Here is a 22,631-nt window from a genome sequence, read left to right as displayed (position 1 = left end):
TACTTCTGTCTCTTAATTAGGGAGATATGCAAACCAAAATACTTAAATAAGACCTCAGTACGTCCTGGCCTGAAGAACTGTGGAGATGTTAATTGTATTGGACGGATTCATACATACCTCGAATTGATAGGAGCAATCAATTTTGGATGTGGTAAAAATAAAAACCCAACAACATCTTTTACTCGACATTTTTTATCCTTACAGCACTTATTCATTTCTATGATGGTTAGAATTCAAGTAGTTATAGGTATATAGAATTCAGAGGTGCTGTAACATTATTTAATAAATGTTTTATTAAGATTTTACTGTTGGTTAAACTGTGTTTTCATTTGACCTACACTGAAAATTGAGAGTGTAACTTTAAAGGTAAAATATTCAATCTAAGTAATAGAAATAATTTAAGAATACAGTTCTTTAGCAGATAAAAGTAAAATTATTTTATGAAAAGTCTAATAATAGCCCATTTAATTTGCAAATACTGTATTCATGCTAGAAATACTACCTAGCAATGTTTAAATAAAGGAAATAATTTGTGAGCCTCTACACTTACATGTGATAAAAGCGTCAAAATATTTTTTGTGGAAGACAATTGTACCTTAGTTTTTTTCAAATTTAAAGTTAATGAATATACATATTTTAAAATATATTCTACTCTTTTTTTTTTTTTTTTTCTCGCTCTGTTGCCCAGGCTGAAGTGCAGTGGTGTGATCTCTGCTCACTGCAACTTCCGCCTCCCGGGTTCAAGCGATTCTTTTGCTTCGGTCTCCAGAGTAGCTGGGACTACAGGCGCATGCCACCACACCTGGCTAATTTTTGTATGATTAGTAGAGACGGGTTTCACCATATTGGCCAGGCTGGTCTCGAACTCCTGACCTCGTGATTTGCCCGCCTCAGCCTCCTAAAGTGCTGGGATCACAGGCGTGAGCCACCGCGCCTGACCTCTACTCTTTTATTGAATTAAAATGACACAACCATTCATAGCTACAAAGTGATAAGGTACATAAAACCTTGTAACCCATGGTTTAAGAAGAGTATATTCTGTGTTTGTCTATGAAAGGGAGACAACTAACAAGAAGATTTTCTGTCAGATATGATTTTCTTTTATATTGAGCTAGATAGAATTTAGTTTGCCCGGGAATCTGTCCTTCATTTCAGTGTCTTTGTTTTCCCAAAGCCTTGAATATTGAGACTAGCTTTTCAGGAAAACTAAAGGATTTTTGCTTCCTCAGCCACCAAAAGAAAAATTAAATCATGTTTTCTGTATTAGACTGCCAAAGTTAGCAAACTACCCATTTTCTAAATATTCCATTTATTAAGATTTTCTTATAATAACAGCATTACTTTTAATTTGAGGGGTGCTCAGTAGCACATCAAATGTATGATCGTGAAATAAGAGTCATAGAAGCCCCACTATAGTCAGTGTACATGTGTCTTACTGTTTAACAAATGAGTTTCACAAAATAATAGATGGTTTTATCTTTCCTGAATTCCAATAGAACAGGCTGTGTATAATAGGCCACAAACAGTTGACAAAGTACGAATCAGAGACAGAAAAGATGCAGTAGAAGCATACCAACTTGCCCAGCGTCTGCAGTCTATGGTAAGCAGTCATCTCTCTCAGTGATCTCTCCACATTGCTGCTTACTCTGTTTAGTGTGGTTTACGTACTTACCTTGAGCTGTTTAATAAATGACCATTTAGTAGAAAAACATGTTTCCTCTTGTGTTTCACCTTAGCAATTCGCTTTTCTGGGTTTCATTCAATTTCATGTTGCTTTCTGAGGCAAAAACAAACCTAAAAACCCTTAAAATGTACTAGCAAACTTGATGCAGAAGCATAATGTTTTCCTAAAGTGGTCTTGGGATGCTTCGTTTTAATTTATAAATCTAATGTGTCTTTTAAAAATATATAGTTCAGTTTTTTTTTCTCTCATTGATTTTTCTTTTAAAATTCTTAACCTTAAGAATCACCTTTTTGGAATAACTAGACTTTTTTTTTATTCTTGGAGTCAGTTTTATAATATTTTAAAATTCGTAAATCATACTTTAAAAATAAAGTGACCTACTAGGAGAAAAAGAAACATCTCGAGGGGAAAAAAAAACAAATAAAAATGTGATCCAACACTTTTTTTTTCTTTTTTTTTTTTTTTTGAGACAGAGTCTCGCTGTGTCACCCAGGCTAGAGTATGGTGGTGCCATCTCGGCTCACTGCAAGCTCCATCTCCCGGGTTCACACCATTCTCATGCCTCAGCCTCCCGAGTAGCTGGGACTACAGGTGCCCGCCATCACACCAAGCTAATTTTTTTTGTATTTTTAGTAGAGACAGGGTTTCACCTTGTTAGCCAGGATGGTCTCGATCTCCTGACCTCATGATCCGCCCGCCTTGGCCTCCCGAAGTGCTGGGATTACAGGCGTGAGCCACCGTGTGCAGCCGATCCAACACTCTTTATAAGGCAGAGTCATAATATGATCCTGTTAGTTTTACTAATGGATTAAATTAGTAATAAATAAGATATGAAAAAGAAAGTATAGGTGCTAAAATAGCTGTTTTTCTCAGAGTATTTAGGCTATAAACCATTTCTATCTAGATTTACTATCTTAAAGATGTTATCAATTAGAGTTGCTGGATATGGTGCTAGTCATACACTATCCTTTGGCAACTGGTCCATTTTAAAGGCCTCACTATTGAGGTTTGCAAAACTGGATTTTAATAATGTAGTCAACCAACTTTGTAATTTCTCATTATTTGATCAACTAGGCCACCTCCTTTCTAAAGCTGGAAATAATAATTATTTTGCTTCTAGTTTTCAATATTATACCTCTTGCTGTGTGTTCTTGCAGATTTTCTACCACAAGTGGTTGAAAAGGAAGCCATTTTCTTGATGGTTCTTTTTGATCTTAAAAATATTTTTGTTCCTACTCGGGAGTCTGAGGCAGGAGAATCACTCGAACCGGGAGGTGGGAGGTTGCAGTAAGCAAAGATCACGCCACTGCACTCCAGCCTGGGCGACACAGTGAGACTCCGTCTCAAAAAAAACCCAAAATTTTGTCATAGTGTTTTAGCTCCTACATGATGAAAGGAAATATAAAAGCTAAGAAGAAATGCTAGCAAAATACAGAAAATCATTACTGATCTTATTTTTTAAATAGCCCTCTGGTGCCAACACCCAGCCCACACCCTGCCCACCTGCTACTGGTGCTCCTGCCCTTACCTCGCCATCACTGATTTATTATATTTGTAACTAGAGTGCTAACTATTGAACATAAATTAATAAAGTTTAGTCAGTCATTGCCAGAGGTTATACTATTTAAATTGATAGATTAATTGACTTTTAGATAATTATTGTTTTCATTTTGTGTATTAATGTGCTATGATTTCTCCATATTAATCTTGCTACCTTTTGCTTTACTTTAATCTCATCGCAGCGTACAAGGAGACGTAGGGTCCGAGACCCATGGGGAAACTGGTGTGATGCAAAGGACTTAGAAGGACAAACGTTTGAGGTAACTTTGACCTTTCAAATGGCTCATCCATGAAAACTGGTTTTTAAATATATATTTGTACATCTTAATGTCATATGTATTGTACTTGTTTCATACATTAACATGTATGTGTTCATTCCCATGTTAATTTGTCTGGAAGTCACCAGTAAACACCAAAGTAGAAGGCATTGGTGGTGCAGTTAACTAGGAGTTTAACTCATTTCAGAACTTGGATTCTCTGTCTCTGTATTCTTGTCTCTAACTCAAGATAAGGGTGTCAAGAAGTTGGTATGCCCAATTCGTTTCATTAAACATTTATTGGAAGAGGTTCTGATATACCAATTAAAATATTGTTCTAAGCATTAGACATTAGACACACATGTGTTCTAAATATATATATTTTTTGTAACAGCTAGTGCAGTAGAATGGATAGAATGTGTGAATGTGTACGTACTGGCTTTGTTACTTTAAGCAACTACTTAATCTCACAGAATCTCATGCTTTTTTAACTTACGAATTGTGAATAATAATAATACCTCCCTCAAAGTATTGTTGTAAGAAAGAAACGAGATAGACTATATAAAGATGCTAGTACTAGGTATTCAGTAAGCCTTGCATGCACAAAGTACTCAAACTTGAGTTCTCTTTCCTCCTCCGCATTCCCTGCCCTCAACTTCTCACCTGAGTACTATTCTAGGCACAGTAATTAGTAATTCATCCTTCCCATAAGGGGCTTGTATTTCTAATAGGAAAGACAAAACCTATGGTAAGTTCAATAAGGTTGGTCCCAAGAATTGTAAGTTTCTCCCAAAGGCTGTGATCAGGGCAGGTTTCGTAGAGTATGTGGGGTATAATCTGATCTGAAGGATCTGCAGAAGAATCTCAAAATGGAGATGAATACACTTTAGGCTGAGGGAACAAAGCTGGAGACATGGGAAAATACTAGATATATTCTGGAAAAGGTGCATAGTTCATTTGGACTAGGGTGTAAGTTGGTCGTAGAAATGGAATAGAGATTTACTTTATTTTATAAACACTTATAAAGGGCTTACTGTGTGTCAGACAATGTCAGTATTTTATAAACATTAACTCAGTCTTCACAATAATACCATGACAGTGGTATTATTGTTTACTTTTTATTATTAATTTTATTGTTCCCATTTTTAAAGATGAGGTAACTGAAGCATGAAAGCTTTAGAATTTGCCTAGGGTCACCAAGCTAGTAAATAACTGGGCCAGACATTCTAGATCCAGAATCTGTTCTTAATCATTACTCTGCACTGTCTCTCAGTTGTGAAAGAAAACTCAACACAGTAGAATATGGTAAGTAGAAATGGGAAATAAAAGACTCAGGTGATTCTGACGTTTTTGAACCTGGGTGACTGGTACCATTGATTGAAATGGGCAAATCAAGAGAAGGAGTAAATTTTCAGTTTGGGATGGCCGTGTCTTTTGAAACAATTTTTTAAAAATACTGTCCAGTCTTTCTACATGTTGGTAGCAAAAAGGAAGCCCATCTATATCAATTTAGTCTCTCTTGTCCTCACATGCCCTTCAATTTGATTTTAAAGGACTATTTTTATTCTGCCTCTTAGTAGATGATGGACTCCTTAATCAATTGGCATTTTGTTTTAGCATCTCTCTGCTGAGGAGTTGGCAAAAAGAAGAGAAGAGGAAAAAGGCAGACCTGTTAAATCTTTAAAAGTGCCAAGACCAACAAAAAGGTGTAGTGTTATATAAATGTGGTTTTTAAACATTTATCACAAATGGCTAGATAATATATGAAAAAATATTCAATAGCTGCATTATATTGTTCACATTAAGTTTAAAAAAATACTGCTACAATTTTTTAGATTTTTTTTGTTTCACTGATTATGAATTTGGAAGACCTTGAACAAACATTTTAAATTTGTTCAGATTCATTGAACATATGATCCAACATATGTTGTAAAGGGGCCCTGTTTAGGACAGGTTGGTCATTCAACTCTAGACGCTATGGACAGGAACCTTCATGAAATGACTGGGTTTTCTTTGGGTGGTACTAATTGTTAGCAAGTTGTTGCATGGTTTGTTGTTTTCTAATGCATGTGTAATCTAAAATTTGAGCCTTTTAAAATTAAGGGTCACCAAATAAGTTAAATGTTCCGATTTTCTATTCCCTCTTCCTGCAGATGCCCCATTGAATAGACTGTAGTTTTGTCAGTGTACCTTTTAAAAGAAGATATCCAGGAATGCCACTAGATCATATTTTTGCCTGATAAATGTCCTCGGGTAATCCTTAGGTTCTCATTTATTAAACAATAATTTAAATAACACTGTTAGCTGTATTTTAAGCACTTTATATTTATTAGCTCATATAGTCTTCATGACAACCCTGTGCATTAGTTAATGTTCTCACTCCCATTTTATAGATGAGGAAACTGAGAGGCATAGAGAGGTTTAATAACTTGCTCACGCTGTCAAGTAGTGGAGCTGTTGATTTTAAACCCAAGTGTTAAGCTTAAGAGTTCATACCCCTAATCATTACAGTATATATTACCTCTCTAAAGTAAAAATAAAACTTACACAGTTGTCGTGAGACTGAATTAGATAAACTATGTAAAAAATAGTCCTCCATAAGCTAGGACTCCTCATCCAGTATCCAGATAATTGATTTTCTGACTCTAAATGTGAGACTTATATTTATTGTGATTTTCAAGTCATTGTTCAAGGTCTTCAGGATCTTTTTGAATCCAGATCCACTTTTCTCATTTTAGCCTTTGTAGCACTGTATCATTAACATTTCAATAAGCTTGCCTTTCCTGCCATTACTCACTGATTGCAATGTTTAATTGAATAAATGTAAACCTCATTGTATATATTTAAACAACGAAGACATTCATTCTTCAATCAGCTATATAGATTACCACAATTAACGCATATATCTTCATCTTATACAGAAGGATAATCATATCGGATGTCTTGTTTAATTTCAGATAAAATATATTTAAGTCTTTAGTTTCTAACAGATTATTCCTATCAATAGTGTCTACAATAAGGTCTACTTATCATGACTTTTCATGAACTCATTATTTTACTTAGTCACCTCTTCACTTGGTTAAGGATCACAAATCAGCTGTTTCATAATTTTTTCTAGAATTTTACTACTGTTCAACATCTAGTTCCTCCTTTTCTGCAGTCTGCTTTTTTGTATTGTGAAACAAGCTCAATAATTGTCTATTTCTAGTCCTTCAGCAACTTTCCCATTCTCTGCAGTTCCTCAACAAACACTGACAGCGGTTCCATATCCGTGGTTCTTAAGTACTCCAGGATGTTCTTTCTGTGCTATTTTCTCATCTATCTTGGCCTTCAGTTTCTTTTTGTGTTGATTAAACACTTTCTAATTTAAAGGTCTTTCTTTATTCAACAAGTATCTTTGAATGTGTACTGTATATGTCAGGCACGGTTCTGATCACTTGGGATACATTATTAAGCAAAACAAAATGTTCTCTTGAAGCTAACCATCTATGGTTGAATGGAAATGGAATTGCCCTGCTCTCTTCCAGTTGTGTTAATGCGAATGTATTCCTGTGTGTTTTTCTTTCCCTGAAGATAGCCTAAAAAACCTTTTTATTGTTCTTAATATAGTTCTCAAGCCTCAATTCTTTACTGACATTTCTGAGATTTATGTGTGCTTTTGACCTTGCTTAGGTTCTCTCTTTTTCACCTCTTTTTACTTTTTCACTTTTTTGTTTTTTTTTTTTTTTTTTTTTTTTTTGGAGACAGGGTCTCACTCTGTCACCCAGGCTGGAGTGGAGTAGTAGAGTGGTGAAATCATGGCTCACTGCAGCCTCCACCTCCTGGGCTTAAGTGATCCTCCCACCTCAGCCTCCCGAGTGGCTGGGACTACAGGCACACGCCACCACGCTCAGCTAGTTTTGAAATTCTTTTGTAGGGGTGGGGTTTCACCATGTTATCCAGGCTGGTCTCAAACTCCTAGGCTCAAGGGGTCTGCCCACCTCGGCCTCCTGAAGTGTTGGAATTACAGATGTGAGCCACTGCACCTGGCCACTTTTTCACTTGAAGAGTTTATGATAGGAGTAATACATTAATATCTTTACCAGAACTGTTTGTCATTCATTCATTCAAAAAATGTTTTAAGTTCCTATTCTATAGTGGGCACATTATTGAACTGACAAGTGTTTTTGATAAACTTCCATCTTTCTTGAACCTTTTTTTGGGTCTCATGACAGTTAATTATATTTTCATTGGACTTTTTGAAATCTGCTTTTAGTGTGGGACATATGTCTGATAGTTTATAGTGTCCTCTTTGAGTGTTAAAGGAAATTAAGACAACAGAGCAACTTTATCTCAAAGTTCCTGGGTTTTTTTTTTGTTCTTGTTAAATCTAAAAGAACAGTGCTTCTTTCGAAAGGGTTTATGGAATTTCCTACAAAACTCTCTCATTTAGACAGAATTTGGGTTTAGATTATTGATATACACTTTCAGATTTACAAATAAATGTTATTTTCCTAATCTTGTTGAGATTGTATTGAAAATTTTTTTTCTTTTTCAGCTCGTTTGATCCCTTCCAACTGATACCTTGTAATTTTTTTAGTGAAGAAAAGCAGGTACTATTTATGCATTAATGAATGACAGTAGACAATCCCCGCTTCCCCGTCAAACAGGAAATGCTTACTCTTTTTCCGTATGTGCAAGGCATATGTATAAAAAGACTGAAAATGAGAGAGAATTTCTCCCTGCTGGAATTTTAAATCATAATGTTTTAAAAGTCTAGTTTGTGCTGAGCTTTGGTTAGTGCTGAGAACTTGGTGGGGTGGATAAAGGAGAACAGGGTGGGCATTCCAGGTGGGGAAAACAAAAATCTCTATTTTTATGCTCCCCCGTTTTGTTTTGTTTTTTATATTTCAGGAGCCATTTCAGGTGAAAGTGGCTTCAGAAGCACTTTTAATAATGGATTTGGTAAGGATAATCTATTGTGTTTACTTAGTTATTCTGATTTCTACTCTTGTGTATTTTTATTGCAGGCGTAAGACAGAGTATGGAAGACGTGTATTTTGGATCTTAACTGTCCTCTTTTACAAGGAATCTAAAAATAAGTCTTTTCTTTTGGAGAAAAGCCAAACAATTGCATGTTTCCATATTTTAGAGAAAATAAATTAATGTGAGTTTTTGCAGACTGTTTACCATCATTAACCCTATTTTAAGTTTCTAATATATGTGTCTGCCACTTTTTAGATCACTGAAACAAAGCACAACTCCTGTAATTTGGAGGGTTTTTTTGTTTTTACTAAACTACCGATACCTCCAACAGTTTTTGTGTTTGTGATGTCTTTGTGTAGAAGGATTTAGAGTGATTTTTACTTTGTATCCTTACATAATACCTCCCTTGAGTAGGGAGAGTAAATGGTATCTTCATTTTGTAATTGCAAAAGTAGAGTCTGAGAATTTTTAAGTGTTTGGTTGAAAGCTTCTCAGCCAGCAGTGAAGATAGACCTGAAATCTTAGTTTCTGTGCACTGATCCTAGCATCTAGTTCCTCTCCTATGCTACTTTATTTTATAAAAGCATGATGGCTATACTTACAAATGACTTTCTTATGATAAGTGAGTTTTGTTACTTTGTCAGGTGGGTTTGTGCGTTTGGGCTAAGTCTGTCTTGTATTTCTTTTAGCATGCTCATGTTTCTATGGCAGAAGTGATTGGTCTGTTAGGAGGAAGATACTCAGAAGTTGATAAAGTAGTTGAAGTAAGTTCTCTCTTTTAAAAAAATGTTTTAGTTATTTAGTCCTACTACCATACCAAATATTTTTATAGAATTCAGTTAATATAATTAAAATACAGACTTTACCTATGATATATATGAGAATATGCAAATGTAGCAAGTTATATATTCCCAGAAGTGACTTAACATTCTATATGCCTAGCGCCTGTTTCTTTTTACCACCGAGAGAACATTGCCAGGCCTTGGGTCCTCATTACCTTTATTAGTAAAAAGCTACAACTTCTAAGAGGCCAGAAACAGGTACTAACACTTTAGTTGAAAGTTTGTATGCATCATTCTGTTGAAATTATTGTCATAAGTAACAGGAGTCATTGAAAGAATACCTTTGTACAGGTATTATGTGGGCTGACCTGGAAAACTAACCATTATTATGACCTTGTTTGAGTAGAAAAATGCATGCTAAGTTCCTAGCATATAATCAGACTTTTGGAGTTTAAGTCATTTGCAAGTTAAAGGCAACTGTGGTATTGTTAAATAAAAGTCTTGGCCTTGAAAAGTTTCCGTATCTTTGAAAGAATTATAACATTAGAGTAATAGAATTAACAGGATTTTAGTATAATCATTTGAGGATCAATCGTTTATAGGTCTGTGCAGCAGAACCATGTAACAGTCTGAGTACAGGACTACAGTGTGAGATGGATCCTGTATCACAAACACAGGCCTCAGAAACCTTGGCTGTTAGAGGCTTCAGTGTTATTGGATGGTATCATTCTCATCCTGCTTTTGATCCTAATCCTTCCTTACGAGATATTGACACACAAGCTAAATACCAGGTATTACATGTATATTTATATTCTGTAAATGGTTGCACACCCCCTCAATGCTCCCTTTTAAATAGATAAACTTTAAACATTTTTCATATTACATTTCTAATATTCTTTATACTGGGGATTTTGTTTGTTTATTTTTATTTATTTTTATTATTATTTTTTTTTTGAGACAGAGTTTCGCTCTTGTTGCCCAAGCTGGAGTGCAATGGCACGATCTTGGCTCACTGCAACCTCTGCCTCTTAGGTTCAAGTGATTCTCCTGCCTCAGCCTCCCAAGTAGCTGGGATTACAGGCGTGCACCACCACGCCTAGCTAATTTTTTGTAGTTTGAGTAGAAACAGGGTTTCACCATGTTAGCCAGGCTGGTCTCAAACTCCTGACCTCAGGTGATTGGCCCGCCTCGGCCTCCAAAAGTGCTGGGATTATAGGCATGAGCCACCACACCCAGCCAAAAAAAAAAAAAAGAAAAAAAATACATATACTGGGGGTTTTAAAAGAACATGCATTTTTTTTTCTGATTGCAAGATTGATAATTGTTTATGTAAACATTTAGAAAGTCAGTTATTTTATTAAGTACAAACAAGCCATGAATGTATCACTGGTAAATACTCCCAGAGCCTTTAAAAATTGATGGGAACAACTAGGACAGGGACTAGATACAACTGAAGTAATAAGAAACATAATGTATTTTTTATAGCTGAAGAAAAAGTTTTATTCTGGGATTTTACACTTGATATGTGACTGGGTTTGCTGTAGGGTATTTGTAAATTATTACTGTATTGATAAGAATTACAGATGTAGGGTGGTGAATACAATTAGTAAATATATTCATGGCAAATACAGATTGTGTAGGCCATTTTATATTTTTAAGGGTCATTTTGGATTTGGTTGAACACATTTTTGCCTGAAAAATGTACCGTGTGAGATGAATATCTAAGGCATTTGATTTAGTTGCAGTTTGGATGTGAACTTTTTTTTTTTTTAGAGACATAGTCTTACTCTGTCACCCAGGCTAGAGTGCAGTGGTGGGATCTCGACTCACTGCAACCTCTGTCTCCCAGGTTTAAGGGATTCTGCTGCCTCAGCCTCCTGAGTAGCTGGGGTTACAGGCACGTGCCACTACACCTGGCTAATTTTTTTATTTTTGGTAGAGACGGGGTTTCACCATGTTGGCCAGGCTGGTCTCAAGCCTGATCAGGCTGACCTGACCTCAAGCAGTCCGCCTGCCTCAGTCTCCCAAAGTGCTGGGATTACAGGCGTGGGCCACTGTGCCGGGCCAGATGTGAACTTTTTAATGCACCTTTTTGTTCCTGCTTTTCCCCATTAGATGTTTAAAATGTTAGTATGGATAAATATTGGCTTTTGAATTTATATAGTTGAAACTAATTATATTTTTCTTGTCATTGTAGAGTTACTTCTCCAGAGGAGGTGCAAAGTTCATTGGGATGATTGTTAGTCCCTATAATCGAAATAATCCCTTACCATATTCTCAGATTACCTGCCTGGTTATAAGTGAGGAAATTAGCCCAGATGGCTCTTATCGTAAGTTTTCAACAAAAATAACTTTATCCTCTTTCTACTCTTATTTCTTTGACTCATACAAATCAAAAGATTTGCAACTGTTTAAAATTATTTAATGCAAGAGTTTGTGCCCTCAACTAGGGAATCATTATTTGGGTGCCACCCTAGTGCAGCCACCCTCTTCCGTTTCTTAATCTCCTGCTATATTCAAGTCCCCACTTTTGTTACCATGGCCACTGGGCAAAAGGATTGAAATATGGAGAAAAGTTATGGCCAGGCAGTGTGTATGCTAGGCACTGGAGATGTTGCAGTAAACAAAACAGTCTCTGTTCTCATGAAAATTTTTTTATAAATGCAGACTGGCTTTCTCTGTGATGGCATGCAAATGAAAAAAAAAATGACCACCAGCTCTCTGTCACCTCCCGGTTTAGGGTTAACAATGACTAACTCAATTTGTATCTCTCTTTGTTCCCATTCTATCTCAGGAAAGAATTTGGTTGGCATAGACCATCATCTGACTTGATTCCCCTGAGGTTTATGTCCACTTGTAGTCCAAACATTTCTGGGCGGATAGGGAGTTAGTATAGCAGACTAGGAAAAGGAAGGGAGTGTGGCTAGAAAGCAAATAATCAGAGGAAACAGTAGGCTAAATAACTCTAGGATATTTATTCTGTCATTACTACCACTGCTATAGGTCAGGTCCCCTGGACACTGCCACTACAGTTACCCCACATTGTACTCTTCCCCATTAGATTATGAGCTCTTTGAGAATAAATACTGTATTGTACCCATTTTTTCTATCCTGTTTCTAGCATGAGGCCTGGCATAAAGTAGATACTAAATGAATATTTGTTTAATAATTAATTTCTCTTCATTCTTAATGATCTCTCTTGGATGCCCTATATTTGATGTAGATTTACCAGCACTGCCCCCATGTTATTTACTATTAGTTGCTTTATTCTTTATGTATCTGCAACACTTTATTCCTGCCTTCATGGTCACTTTGTCTTTTAATGCAATTTATCTATTTAGCAAGTCCTAATAAATTGTATGCCCAAAGAGCAGGGACTGTGTCTTATTTGTCTTTTTTCTCAAGTAGCACCTAATAAATTGCTTTGCATCTAGGAGGTGGTCAACACTATGGGTTTTTACTGAATTAATAATATTGGTATTAGCTTTTAGTCTGGAATGTCCATTTTGAGCATAGCACATAATACATATTATTCTTTAGCTCAGTACAGTTTTATAAAAAGAATCGCAATTAACTTGTTCTCTTTAAATCATTTTTAAACCATCTTTAAATCATCATCTGACTTGATTTTATAATCTCACAGACTGCTAGGTTTTGGTAATGAACCTCAATTCTGATGCTATCCAGTACAATAGCAGTACGTGTGACTTTAAATGTAAGTTGATTAGAATTACATGAAATTTAAAATTTAGTTCATGGAATTCTACTCTGGCCAAAATGAAGTAAAAAGAACTTGTCTGAAACTACCAAAAAACTGGACAAAATATGTAAAATAATGGTATTTAAACACAACATTTAGCAGCAAAGGAATACGATTGCTAAGAGATGGGAAACAAATGAAAAGAGCCCCACATTACCCTAGCTTACTGCTTAAGAGGGTTTTCAGATATGGCACAAGAAGGAGAAACCCACCCAGAGCCAGGCCGACTCAATTAAGGTGATGGAGATAAGGAGACCAAGACAGCTGAGTTTGTGAGACAGAGCCCCAAGAGAACAGAAAGCAGAATGGAGAGTGAACTCTGGAGATTTGTAGAAGAGTATCCCTGGAGTATTTAGCAAAGTACAGATCAGCACATGTATGTGAATAAACTAGCCCAGATGGGAAAGAACTACTTGAAAGCATTAGAGGGAACTATCCATGATGCTCCCATGAGCTACCATTGGACAGAGCTGTCTTGTAAATGACTTGTCCATGCTTAACACTGCGTATTAGATCTTAATCCTAGGTCTTTTGCTTTGCCCTTAGAAATCCTCTGGTGCAAGAATTAAGGTTTTCTAGAAGCCATGGGATACCTTGTGCTACAGTACTTTTAACTCAGGTCATATCTTTACAATATCTCTAATGGTTTAATGTTTTCTTTACTTGTGACAGGCAGGAAATATATTTAGTGATCAGTTTTCTTCTGATATTTTAGTGGATAAAAATATTCTCTATAAAAGAAACTTATTGACTTTAAAAGTACCTTTTTTAACTTAAAAAATATTCTTAAAAATACCAAATAGACCTGTATATAATTTGTGTGTATGTTTTCATGTTTTTGCATCAGCATAGATTGAAAATGCATTATTTACCTCTCTTTATTTTCATCTTCAACTTTCATTGAGAGTAGGAGTCACTCTACTGGATTCAGATCCCAGCTCTGACATTTATTGCTTATTTTACCTTGGGCAGTCTACTCCCTCATTCTCCTTTGCTACATCTGTAAAATGAGAAAAAATTACTACCTTGCTTACAGTAGGTATATGGTTGTAAGGTGTGTCAGTAATATATGTAAAGTGTTTAGCAAATAATAGGTTTTCAGTGGGTGGTTATCATTATATAGATGGTATCCATGTTTAGTAAGTAATCAAAGCATGTCAAGTAAATGACTGTTATCACCATAAGGAGTTTGCTTAATACCCCGTGTACTATAGTGTGTCACTCTTCTTAAGTTTTTGGAGAAGAGGAAAATTGAGCAATTAAATAAAAAAGATCAGTCATCATCATCAGGCTTGCTGTCCCCTTTCCTTCCAAACACCTGAAAAAATGCCTTTTTAGAGCATATTGACATTTAAGCTATGCTTTATTTCATTGTGAGGAAATAATTGTATTTTTCCCCTTTTTTTTTTCCATGCCTTCTGATTTGCTGGCATTTTATTTATTCCTTACCATGGTAGAAACCCAGTTGAGGCAGTATTATGTATAAGTTAAAAGCAGAACTCTCGAGCCTGACTGCCTGGGTTCAAATCCTGCCAATGCCTTTTATATCTGATCATGAGCAGGTTAACCTTTCTATGACGTAGTGTCCTCATCGAAAAAAAAAAAAGGGGGGGGTGAATAATGGCAGCTACTTCATTTAAGTGATTTCACATTAAGTTTTAGGTGGCACATAGTATGCATTATAAGTGTTACTATGATGGTATCAGCCTTTGCTAGTGAATCAGCTGAGCTTTTAAAAAAATGCTATAGATGCATTTGCATGGGGGTCTTGAAGGATATGTGAAAAATTGCTAAGATAACTCATCGTTTGGTATTTTTTCCTTTCTAGATGAATATATGATGTTCACCCCTTGGGCTTCTTTCTTTCCTCCAGAGTTTAGTATAACAACTTTGACTCAAAGCAGTTGCTGCCTCCCCAGAGTTCATCCTATCCTCTTGTCTAGTCTTAGATTAGCTCTTCTAGGGAGGTGGAATGAGTTTGGGCTCAGAAGTGAGGCAAACCTGCTGGGTTTTAACATCTGTGTCCTGCCACTTTGCTAGCCTAAATATGATTTTTAATGTATCTCAGCTTCAGTTTTCTCACCTGTTAAAAAAAAAACAATAACTTACAGCATTGTTGTAAGCTTAATAACCTGTATATATATATATTTTTAATTATCACTAGGATGGCAATATGTCTTAGTTTGTCTAGGATAATCCCACTTTAAACCTGCGGTTCAGGCATAATTATTAATAGTACCTTCTTTCATTCAAAAAGTCTCTTGGTTTAGGTGATAAATTACGTGATCATCCCATCATAGTGCCATGCGTAGAATTGTCATGTAAATGGCACTTTTACTCATTATTATTATTAATAGCTTGGCATTAATATGCTTAGTGGACCAAGTACAATCGGGCAATAAATATTTAATGAATGCCCACTATGTTTAAAGTGCTGTTCAGCTGATCTGCAAAGCTATGGCTGTAAAAACACCGAAGGGAATTTTAAGTATAATTAAAAGGAGATTGGAGAGTTAAGAAATAGTTGATGACAATGTGCTTCTTTATGCTTTTCTAGGCTTACCTTACAAATTTGAAGTACAGCAGATGTTAGAAGAACCTCAGTGGGGATTAGTATTTGAAAAGACAAGATGGATAATAGAAAAATACAGGCTCTCCCATAGGTATGTACTGTGGTTTGAGATGGTTGCACATCTGCAGTGTTGCTCATTAAATTATGTTTCAGAGAAAACCCAAGTTAAATATAAAATTGTGATGTATGGCATCCGTGATAGTTTATTATGAAACTGATTAGTTTATAGTATTCGTTTCACCAGTTTGTTTTCATATTTCTTCCTACAGCAGCGTCCCCATGGATAAAATCTTTCGCCGGGATTCTGACCTGACTTGTTTGCAGAAAGTAAGCTGTCTTCATTTTAATTGGTTCCATTGTTCACAGATTCTGAAGCTATTCATCTCAATGTGTTTTCCCATGATGCCTAATACTTTGTGGATAATTTTCTGTATATTTCTTTTATTACTTTTTCCTTTGGAAAATTAATTTCTAGGAGATAATTAGTAACGTTTTTTGTTGCCCAAGCTTGCACATAGAAAAAATTCTATTTTAGAATAAATTTGTCAGTGTTGGCTGATTTTAGCAGATTATTATTATACACAATGGAGAACATTTTTCTTATTTTATTAAATTTGAAAGTGCCATGTTTCCATTTTAGCCTTAACAATTGGTCATTTTTAAGAATGATGGTATAAATCTAACAATTAAATTTAAATAGTCATTTTATTTAACTTTCTAATAGGAAATAAGAGTTTTGAATTCTGTCAGTTCACGTCTAGGTTTTGCTTCTGTAATGATTGAAGGCTAGTAGATCTGCAACATTTGTCTTTTTAAATAGCAATTGGGGATAGAAAATTTAAACATTAAGTTTCTTTTTAATATGTTTTACTCCTTTCTGTTATATCCAGTTTTTTGTGTGTTGTTGAAAAAGTATGTGCACATTTCCAAGGAAATAGACTCCAGCTAGCATCCTCATTTTGAAATGCAGAATCCTATGTTTTTATGTACCTAGATTTTTGTGTGTGTGTATACTCAGGATTATTTTGCTTTGTAAGTGTAACTACAAATGGAGAAAAGTCGCAAATACGTCCGAAGTAGAAAGCATCACATAAACAATCTCAGGTTTGTCTCCTTATGTAAAATCATAAAAGTACTAAGCTGAGTGTTCCTCAGCAGCAATTTCCTACATTCCAGCTCTGTGACTATTAAACACAAGTTAATCTTCAACCATTTTTAAGGAGAGTGTTTCTCATTTGAGCATTAGGAAATGTGAGGTCTGGAAAGGGACGAAATAGTGATAGTAATGCAAACCCTCATACTTTTTCTGTATTTAAATATAAAACTTTTCTTTTCAACTAGCTTTTGGAGTGTATGAGGAAGACTCTGAGCAAAGTGACCAATTGCTTTATGGCTGAAGAATTCTTGACTGAAATAGAAAATTTGTTCCTTTCCAATTATAAAAGCAACCAAGAGAATGGAGTAACCGAAGAGAACTGTACAAAGGAATTGTTAATGTGATTATTTTAAAGTTAAGACATTTTAATCTTGACACAGTAGATCTTACTTTCAAAGTTATAAACTTGAAGTGATTGTAGTTAACATTGGCACAGCTTTGGTATTTTTTCTCTATTTCACAAAATCCAAACTTTGCCACATAAATCATGTGAAAAGGAAGAGATACAAATTTGTTTTCATATAGTGATTATCAGAGTGTTCTGCAAACCAGGGTCCACCACGGTGTTCTAGTCCTTTACTGAGCAATGCTGTAGGCTGTGAAACTAAGCAACCTGGTCGGCTTTACTGTTGTGTTCAGCTTGGGATTTGGACTATGTCTCTAAGTCATTTCTTCCCTGAACTAGTCATTTATGTTCCATTGTGGTATCTCCTATTTCATTTAAAAGCACTTCCATTCTTTCCATATATTCTGCTGAGATTTGTTTATGGCTATAAATGAGATATGGATGGGTGGTCACTGAGATAATTAATATGGTTTAGAACTACTGATTAATAAATCTAACAGGAGACCAGGAGAGGCATGACAAGAAAATCTTAAAAACAGGAAAAACCCAAAGGAGAGAACTAAATTACCAGTTTCTAATCATAGATACTATCTTCCATTTCATTGTATAGCAGTAGTATCATAAGATATGCCATTTTCTCAGCTATCTGAAAATTTTTAACCAATTTTACACACATAAAATAATTAGCTTCAATTGTGAGTCCACTTACATTAGTAGGTGTGATAAAACCTCATTTAACTGGAACATAGGTAATCATAACTCAAACTTTTTTTCTACTGCCTACTACTAGGAGAAAGAGGCAAATGATAATAAAGCTGGAATAAATCAGAGATTTAATTTTTAAAACAAGCCTTTCAGGACATGTTACATATTCAGCCCAGTTTCATATGCTTTCTGAATCTATAATGGAGGTCAGTGAACTTTTTTAATGTAAAGGGCCAGTTTGTAAATAATTTTGGCTTTTCAGGCCACATATGATGTCTATGAGACATTCTTCTTTGTGTGTGTGTGTGTGTGTGTGTGTGTGTGTGTGTGTTTTACAGCCCTTTAAAATGATAAAAACCATTGTTAACTCACAGGCCTCATAAAACATAGGCTGTTGGCTATTATTCTCCAACCCTTGATCTAGAGAATTTTAAACATTAGAATTTTGTTTTACATTTGTTAAGCTTTACGTCATCTTCAAATGACACCAAAACTCAGAATTATGATCTGCATTTAAGCCAATTTTAAAATAAAATAAGCAGTCAATGCTGCCTCATTTATTGAAATTCAGTAGATTTTAGTTTATTTCTTAGTAGTCAGAGAATTGATTTATAGCTATTCACCAAACATTCTTACTAACGTTTCCTTATATCTAAATCAGATTGATTCTATATTTTGCTTTGTTTGTAATCAATAGCCAATGAAGAATAAGGAGTATTGGAAGAAGCAGTGAGTCAGCTTTAGGTGACCTGGTTCTTGTCTCAACTTTGTGATTTGGGGAGATACAGTTTACTTTCCCTGAGCCTTAATTCTTGTGTAACTGAAGTCTAACTTAACTTCTTAATGTCCTTCCAGAACTAAAATTTTATTGTTCATTCTAATCGTTGGACTACTCTTGTGAAGTTTATATTTTGAGTTAATACAGTTTCCAAATTAACATACATTTAAAAAAAAAAGGGTAGTATTTTTCCATTTCTCTGTGTGCACTTAGGATAAACAGTGAAGTATAGCTTATAAAACAATTAGTTTGAGGGCTGAGAGTGTAAGAGGAACTATACCAAAAGTCAGGAAACCTGAGCTCTTACCCTAACTCTGTTACCAACTTTGCTGTGTGACCTTAATCAAAACACATAACCTGGACCCCATGCTCCTCACCAGTAAATCAAGGGCCTGAATTTTATGGCTTAGTATTCCCTTCCAAGCTCCGAAGTTGCGTGATTCTGTGAAAGGCAGTGATTGATTCCTTTGTACTCATCTTCCTTTTGACCTGTTTCCTCATGATATATTGGGGAACAAATACTAAAAAGTGTTTTATACTAGCTTTCTTGATTGACATTTCCCTATAATACTGATGAATTTGGGTGATGGAAAGTAATGGAAATTGTTAAAAGTTCTGCTCTCAAATCTGAGTCTCCTTGCCCTGTGTGCCAATGTTTAACCATATTTGCTAATCTAAGCCATATTGCGAGGATCTCAAGGATGATACTTGTCAAGAGTTTGGGGCCTTGAGAGCACAGTTTTCAAAATAATACTTAGTATTTTCTGACTATAGAGTACATTTGTCTTGTAAAGTATATTTTAAAATACAGAGAAGTGTGAAGTACAAATATCTCAGTGCTACTATTTAAAAAAACACAATTAGTATATAAATCCTTCCCCATTTTTTTGACAGTATAATTTTAGTATGTTAAACTTGGTTACTTCTTTCTCTCTTCCTCCATCATTTTCCCTGCTTCCTTTTTCTTTTGTCATATTCTTAAAACAATTTTGCAACCACAGGTACCCACATTGCTGGCACTACCAGCCTTGGGCTACTACCGAGGATAATGGAGCCAGGGCCTTGTAGAAGCACAGAGGAAGTCTAGAACTGAGGGGGCCTATGATACAGGAAGTTCAGGAGGCAGAGTCTCAAAGGAACACCTGCCTTTAATAATGTTTACAGAAGTGGAGAAAGGACTAAAGGACTTAAAGACATGCAGGTGTCTTCATCCTGATTCTGTCTTTGTTATTGCACAATGACTATAAAATAATGACCTAATTTTTTTTTTTTTCTGGCTTGGCTAATGGAAATCGACACTAGCGCTTCCCCAGTATTAGACTTAATCTAATTCCAAAGTAACATTCAAGAAAAGAAAAACCAGTGGAACAGGATCAGTAAGCTCAGACTCTCCATCTCCATTATTTTAGCCTTGACCATTCTTCTCTAATCCTTTTAAATTATCTTCAGTTTCCAGTTCAAGTTACATTGCTTCAGTTACAGTTTGTTTGACCCTGTATTCAGAGCTGCATTATGATTCTTGTGGGCCCTAGATAGTTTTGCCATCTTAGACCCCTTCTTCCATACAAAATTAAAAGTGATATTTTACAATTGTATCTGTATGAAATGAATGTATTAATATTTTAGATTAAAACATTTTGTTTAGAAGTTCAGTTTTTTCTTATGAGGCTAAAAAAAATTAAAACATTTTTGTGGGCTTCTAAAAAACTGTGGGCCTTAGGTACTGTGCCTAATGGATAAGTTGGCATTGCCTGTATTCTGAAGGGCATCATTGGAAAAATAGCAGTCATTATTCTGTCCCCTTCTCCCACCACCACAGTCCTTGGAGAAGCCTTTGCCACTCCATCCAGGAGCACTGCAGTTTCCACGGTTATAGATCTATAGACTTGAACTTACTTCCTTCCCAACCTAACGAAAACTCACAAGGATTACTTGGGACCATTCATCCTCAAAAAAGATAGGAGGCAGTGGTTTGTTTTAGTCTTCAGATATTTTTGTTTTGGTCAGTCCCTAATCTGTAGTTTTGAAACTCGTGCCACACTTGAAAGGGAAACATCCTACTACCTTTCTTTCCTCTCCATTTCCCACAAACCCTTTCCTTCATCATCACTCCCTGCATTCTTACTTCTCAGCATATAAATACAAGACCCTTCTTTCTATTATTTGTTGAAAGCTAGGCCTGTAAAATAGAGATGGACAGACCATGCATGTTTCCATGAAGCTATTTAATGCTGCTCCCAGTCTTCTGTCCATACCATTCCTTCCCTGCCCCTAGGAGTGGGGTTGAGGTCTGTGACATGCAGACTGTAAGCACAGTCAGAACCTCTGCAGCTCTCAACCCAACAGAGGAGACTGTGGCTTCAACATGCCAACCTGAGCAGGTCTCCTCTGCATTACCTTCCTCCCATTTCTCTTCCTGGGTCCTGATGAGGTGAGCTGGAGGAACCAATAGTCAGGATGCCCTGGAATTGATGTTGCTCTGTTTTGTGCTCACAAAACAGCCATGTAACACATGAGCACCTGAGTTGAAGCCATCCAGTCGCAAGTCAGCAGACAGCAGTTGATGGAATTCTCAGTAGAAATTCAGTAAGGGTGCCCAAATTTTATTTTTTTTTTCACCTATACTCTACCAATATATGGTATTTAGGAAAACTTCTTTTATCCAAGCACAAAGAAAAGCACACACATTTTTATAATCATCTGCTTCATCAGGGTAAATAAATAATTTAACAAATTTGATCAGCATCTCTAGTTTACCAGTACTTTAATATTAGTTTTCTTACAAATTAATGTATTTTGCAATATTTCCAGAAAATCACTGTGGGAGAATAATGTAATATACTTTAGGATATATTTCCTGACCTTTTCTTAAATGGCTTCATGTGCTATTCCCCCAAATTCTGCTTTCTCTATTTTCTTTTTTATTTAACCTATAATTATACTTTCTAGTATATTCTGAGTCTATCTTCTAAGCCACCTTACATTTTTCCTGGAACAAGGGAGGGAATAAATAGTTGCCTCCACTAAATCAGGAAAAAATAAAAATATCCCAGGGGAGCTGTGATTATGCCAAGAGCTCTAAACAGAAGTTTGAGAAGGTAAAAATTAAGTTGTAGTATCTGAGTTGTTTTTATTTTCTTCCTTTGGTGTTTATGAAGGTATTCATAAGAACTTTAATTTCAGGGGAAAAAAATGCCTGATTTGCTATTTTTGACATTTCCTCGTCTCTTAAGAAGTCAGTTAAATATGTTTTCATAGTTTATATTCCTGTTTCATAGATTACTGTGAAACATGTATTTAAACCTATGAATTATAAAATAGTATTTAGATTCTAGCGTGAGTTAAATAGATTAGTCATATATCTTTTAGATTTGTGGATTTGACATGTAAATTATGTGTTGTGTATAAGTAAGTTAGTTACTAAACATATGGCATGGTTATTGATAAACTTGTTGCTATTTTTTTCCAAATGCTATCAGTGTTTGTGGACTTTTAAAAATTAGTTTGAATTTTGGAATGTTCTGTGATAAAATGTAATTTCAACTATTTTGTACATTTAAATATGCCATGTTGTATATGTCTGTATTTAAAAATGTTGTAAATACCTGCATTTTAAGAATTATGAAAGATTTTCCTCAAAAATGACAGAACTCTCCATACTTAATTGTGACACATTATAAGATATCTGATTTTAAGCTTTTGGATTTTGTTCTAAAAATTAAGTTTAAACATGCTGAAAATTCCATAAAAATAAAATTTTGAAAATAAAGTGATCATTTGGATTATTTCTAAATTATTAGCAATATACACATTGAATTGCAAAAAAATGCCACATTTTAATTTATCAAAGATTTGTTGAGCATCTGTTATATAGAACACTGTAGGGGAAGCAAAGATGAGGAAATCTTAATTTCTTCCCACAAGAAGCCTTGTAAGTGGGAAAACAGATAAAGCCCAACATGAATAGCTAAGACACTGAGATGCAAAAAGACTTCCAGGGTAATGGATGGTTAAACAAATGAGAGAAAATTCTCTGGAATATGAGCAGTGAGATCAATTTCTGGGG

The 22,631-nt window shown here is 35.3% G+C and overlaps 1 protein-coding gene across 9 annotated transcripts in view; it reads left to right on the top strand.

Moving 5' to 3' along the window:
• MYSM1 (Myb like, SWIRM and MPN domains 1) overlaps positions 1 to 22,334 on the top strand; it is a 45,320-nt gene extending 22,986 nt beyond the window's left edge. For 6 of the 9 annotated variants that reach the window (NM_001085487.3, XM_011540573.4, XM_047443719.1 and 3 more), the window contains 12 exons: positions 21 to 151; positions 1,497 to 1,600; positions 3,427 to 3,504; positions 5,119 to 5,207; positions 8,039 to 8,093; positions 8,395 to 8,445; positions 9,156 to 9,230; positions 9,851 to 10,039; positions 11,446 to 11,578; positions 15,566 to 15,671; positions 15,850 to 15,907; positions 16,922 to 22,334. In NM_001085487.3, the coding sequence (NP_001078956.1) occupies positions 21 to 151; positions 1,497 to 1,600; positions 3,427 to 3,504; positions 5,119 to 5,207; positions 8,039 to 8,093; positions 8,395 to 8,445; positions 9,156 to 9,230; positions 9,851 to 10,039; positions 11,446 to 11,578; positions 15,566 to 15,671; positions 15,850 to 15,907; positions 16,922 to 17,080 (1,228 nt within the window). In that variant the 3' untranslated portion in view covers positions 17,081 to 22,334. Of the gene's footprint in view, positions 1 to 20; positions 152 to 1,496; positions 1,601 to 3,426; positions 3,505 to 5,118; positions 5,208 to 8,038; positions 8,094 to 8,394; positions 8,446 to 8,510; positions 8,648 to 9,155; positions 9,231 to 9,850; positions 10,040 to 11,445; positions 11,579 to 13,554; positions 13,628 to 15,565; positions 15,672 to 15,849; positions 15,908 to 16,921 lie in introns of those variants that run through there. The other 3 variants (XM_006710314.4, XR_946533.3, XM_047443720.1) reach the window with 3 other exon arrangements.

The sequence above is a fragment of the Homo sapiens genome, chromosome 1 (assembly GCF_000001405.40).
Source record: "Homo sapiens chromosome 1, GRCh38.p14 Primary Assembly".
Taxonomy (NCBI): domain Eukaryota; kingdom Metazoa; phylum Chordata; class Mammalia; order Primates; family Hominidae; genus Homo; species Homo sapiens.
The sequence above is the reverse complement of the archived record's forward strand: the minus strand, read 5'-3'. Positions and strand labels throughout refer to the sequence as shown.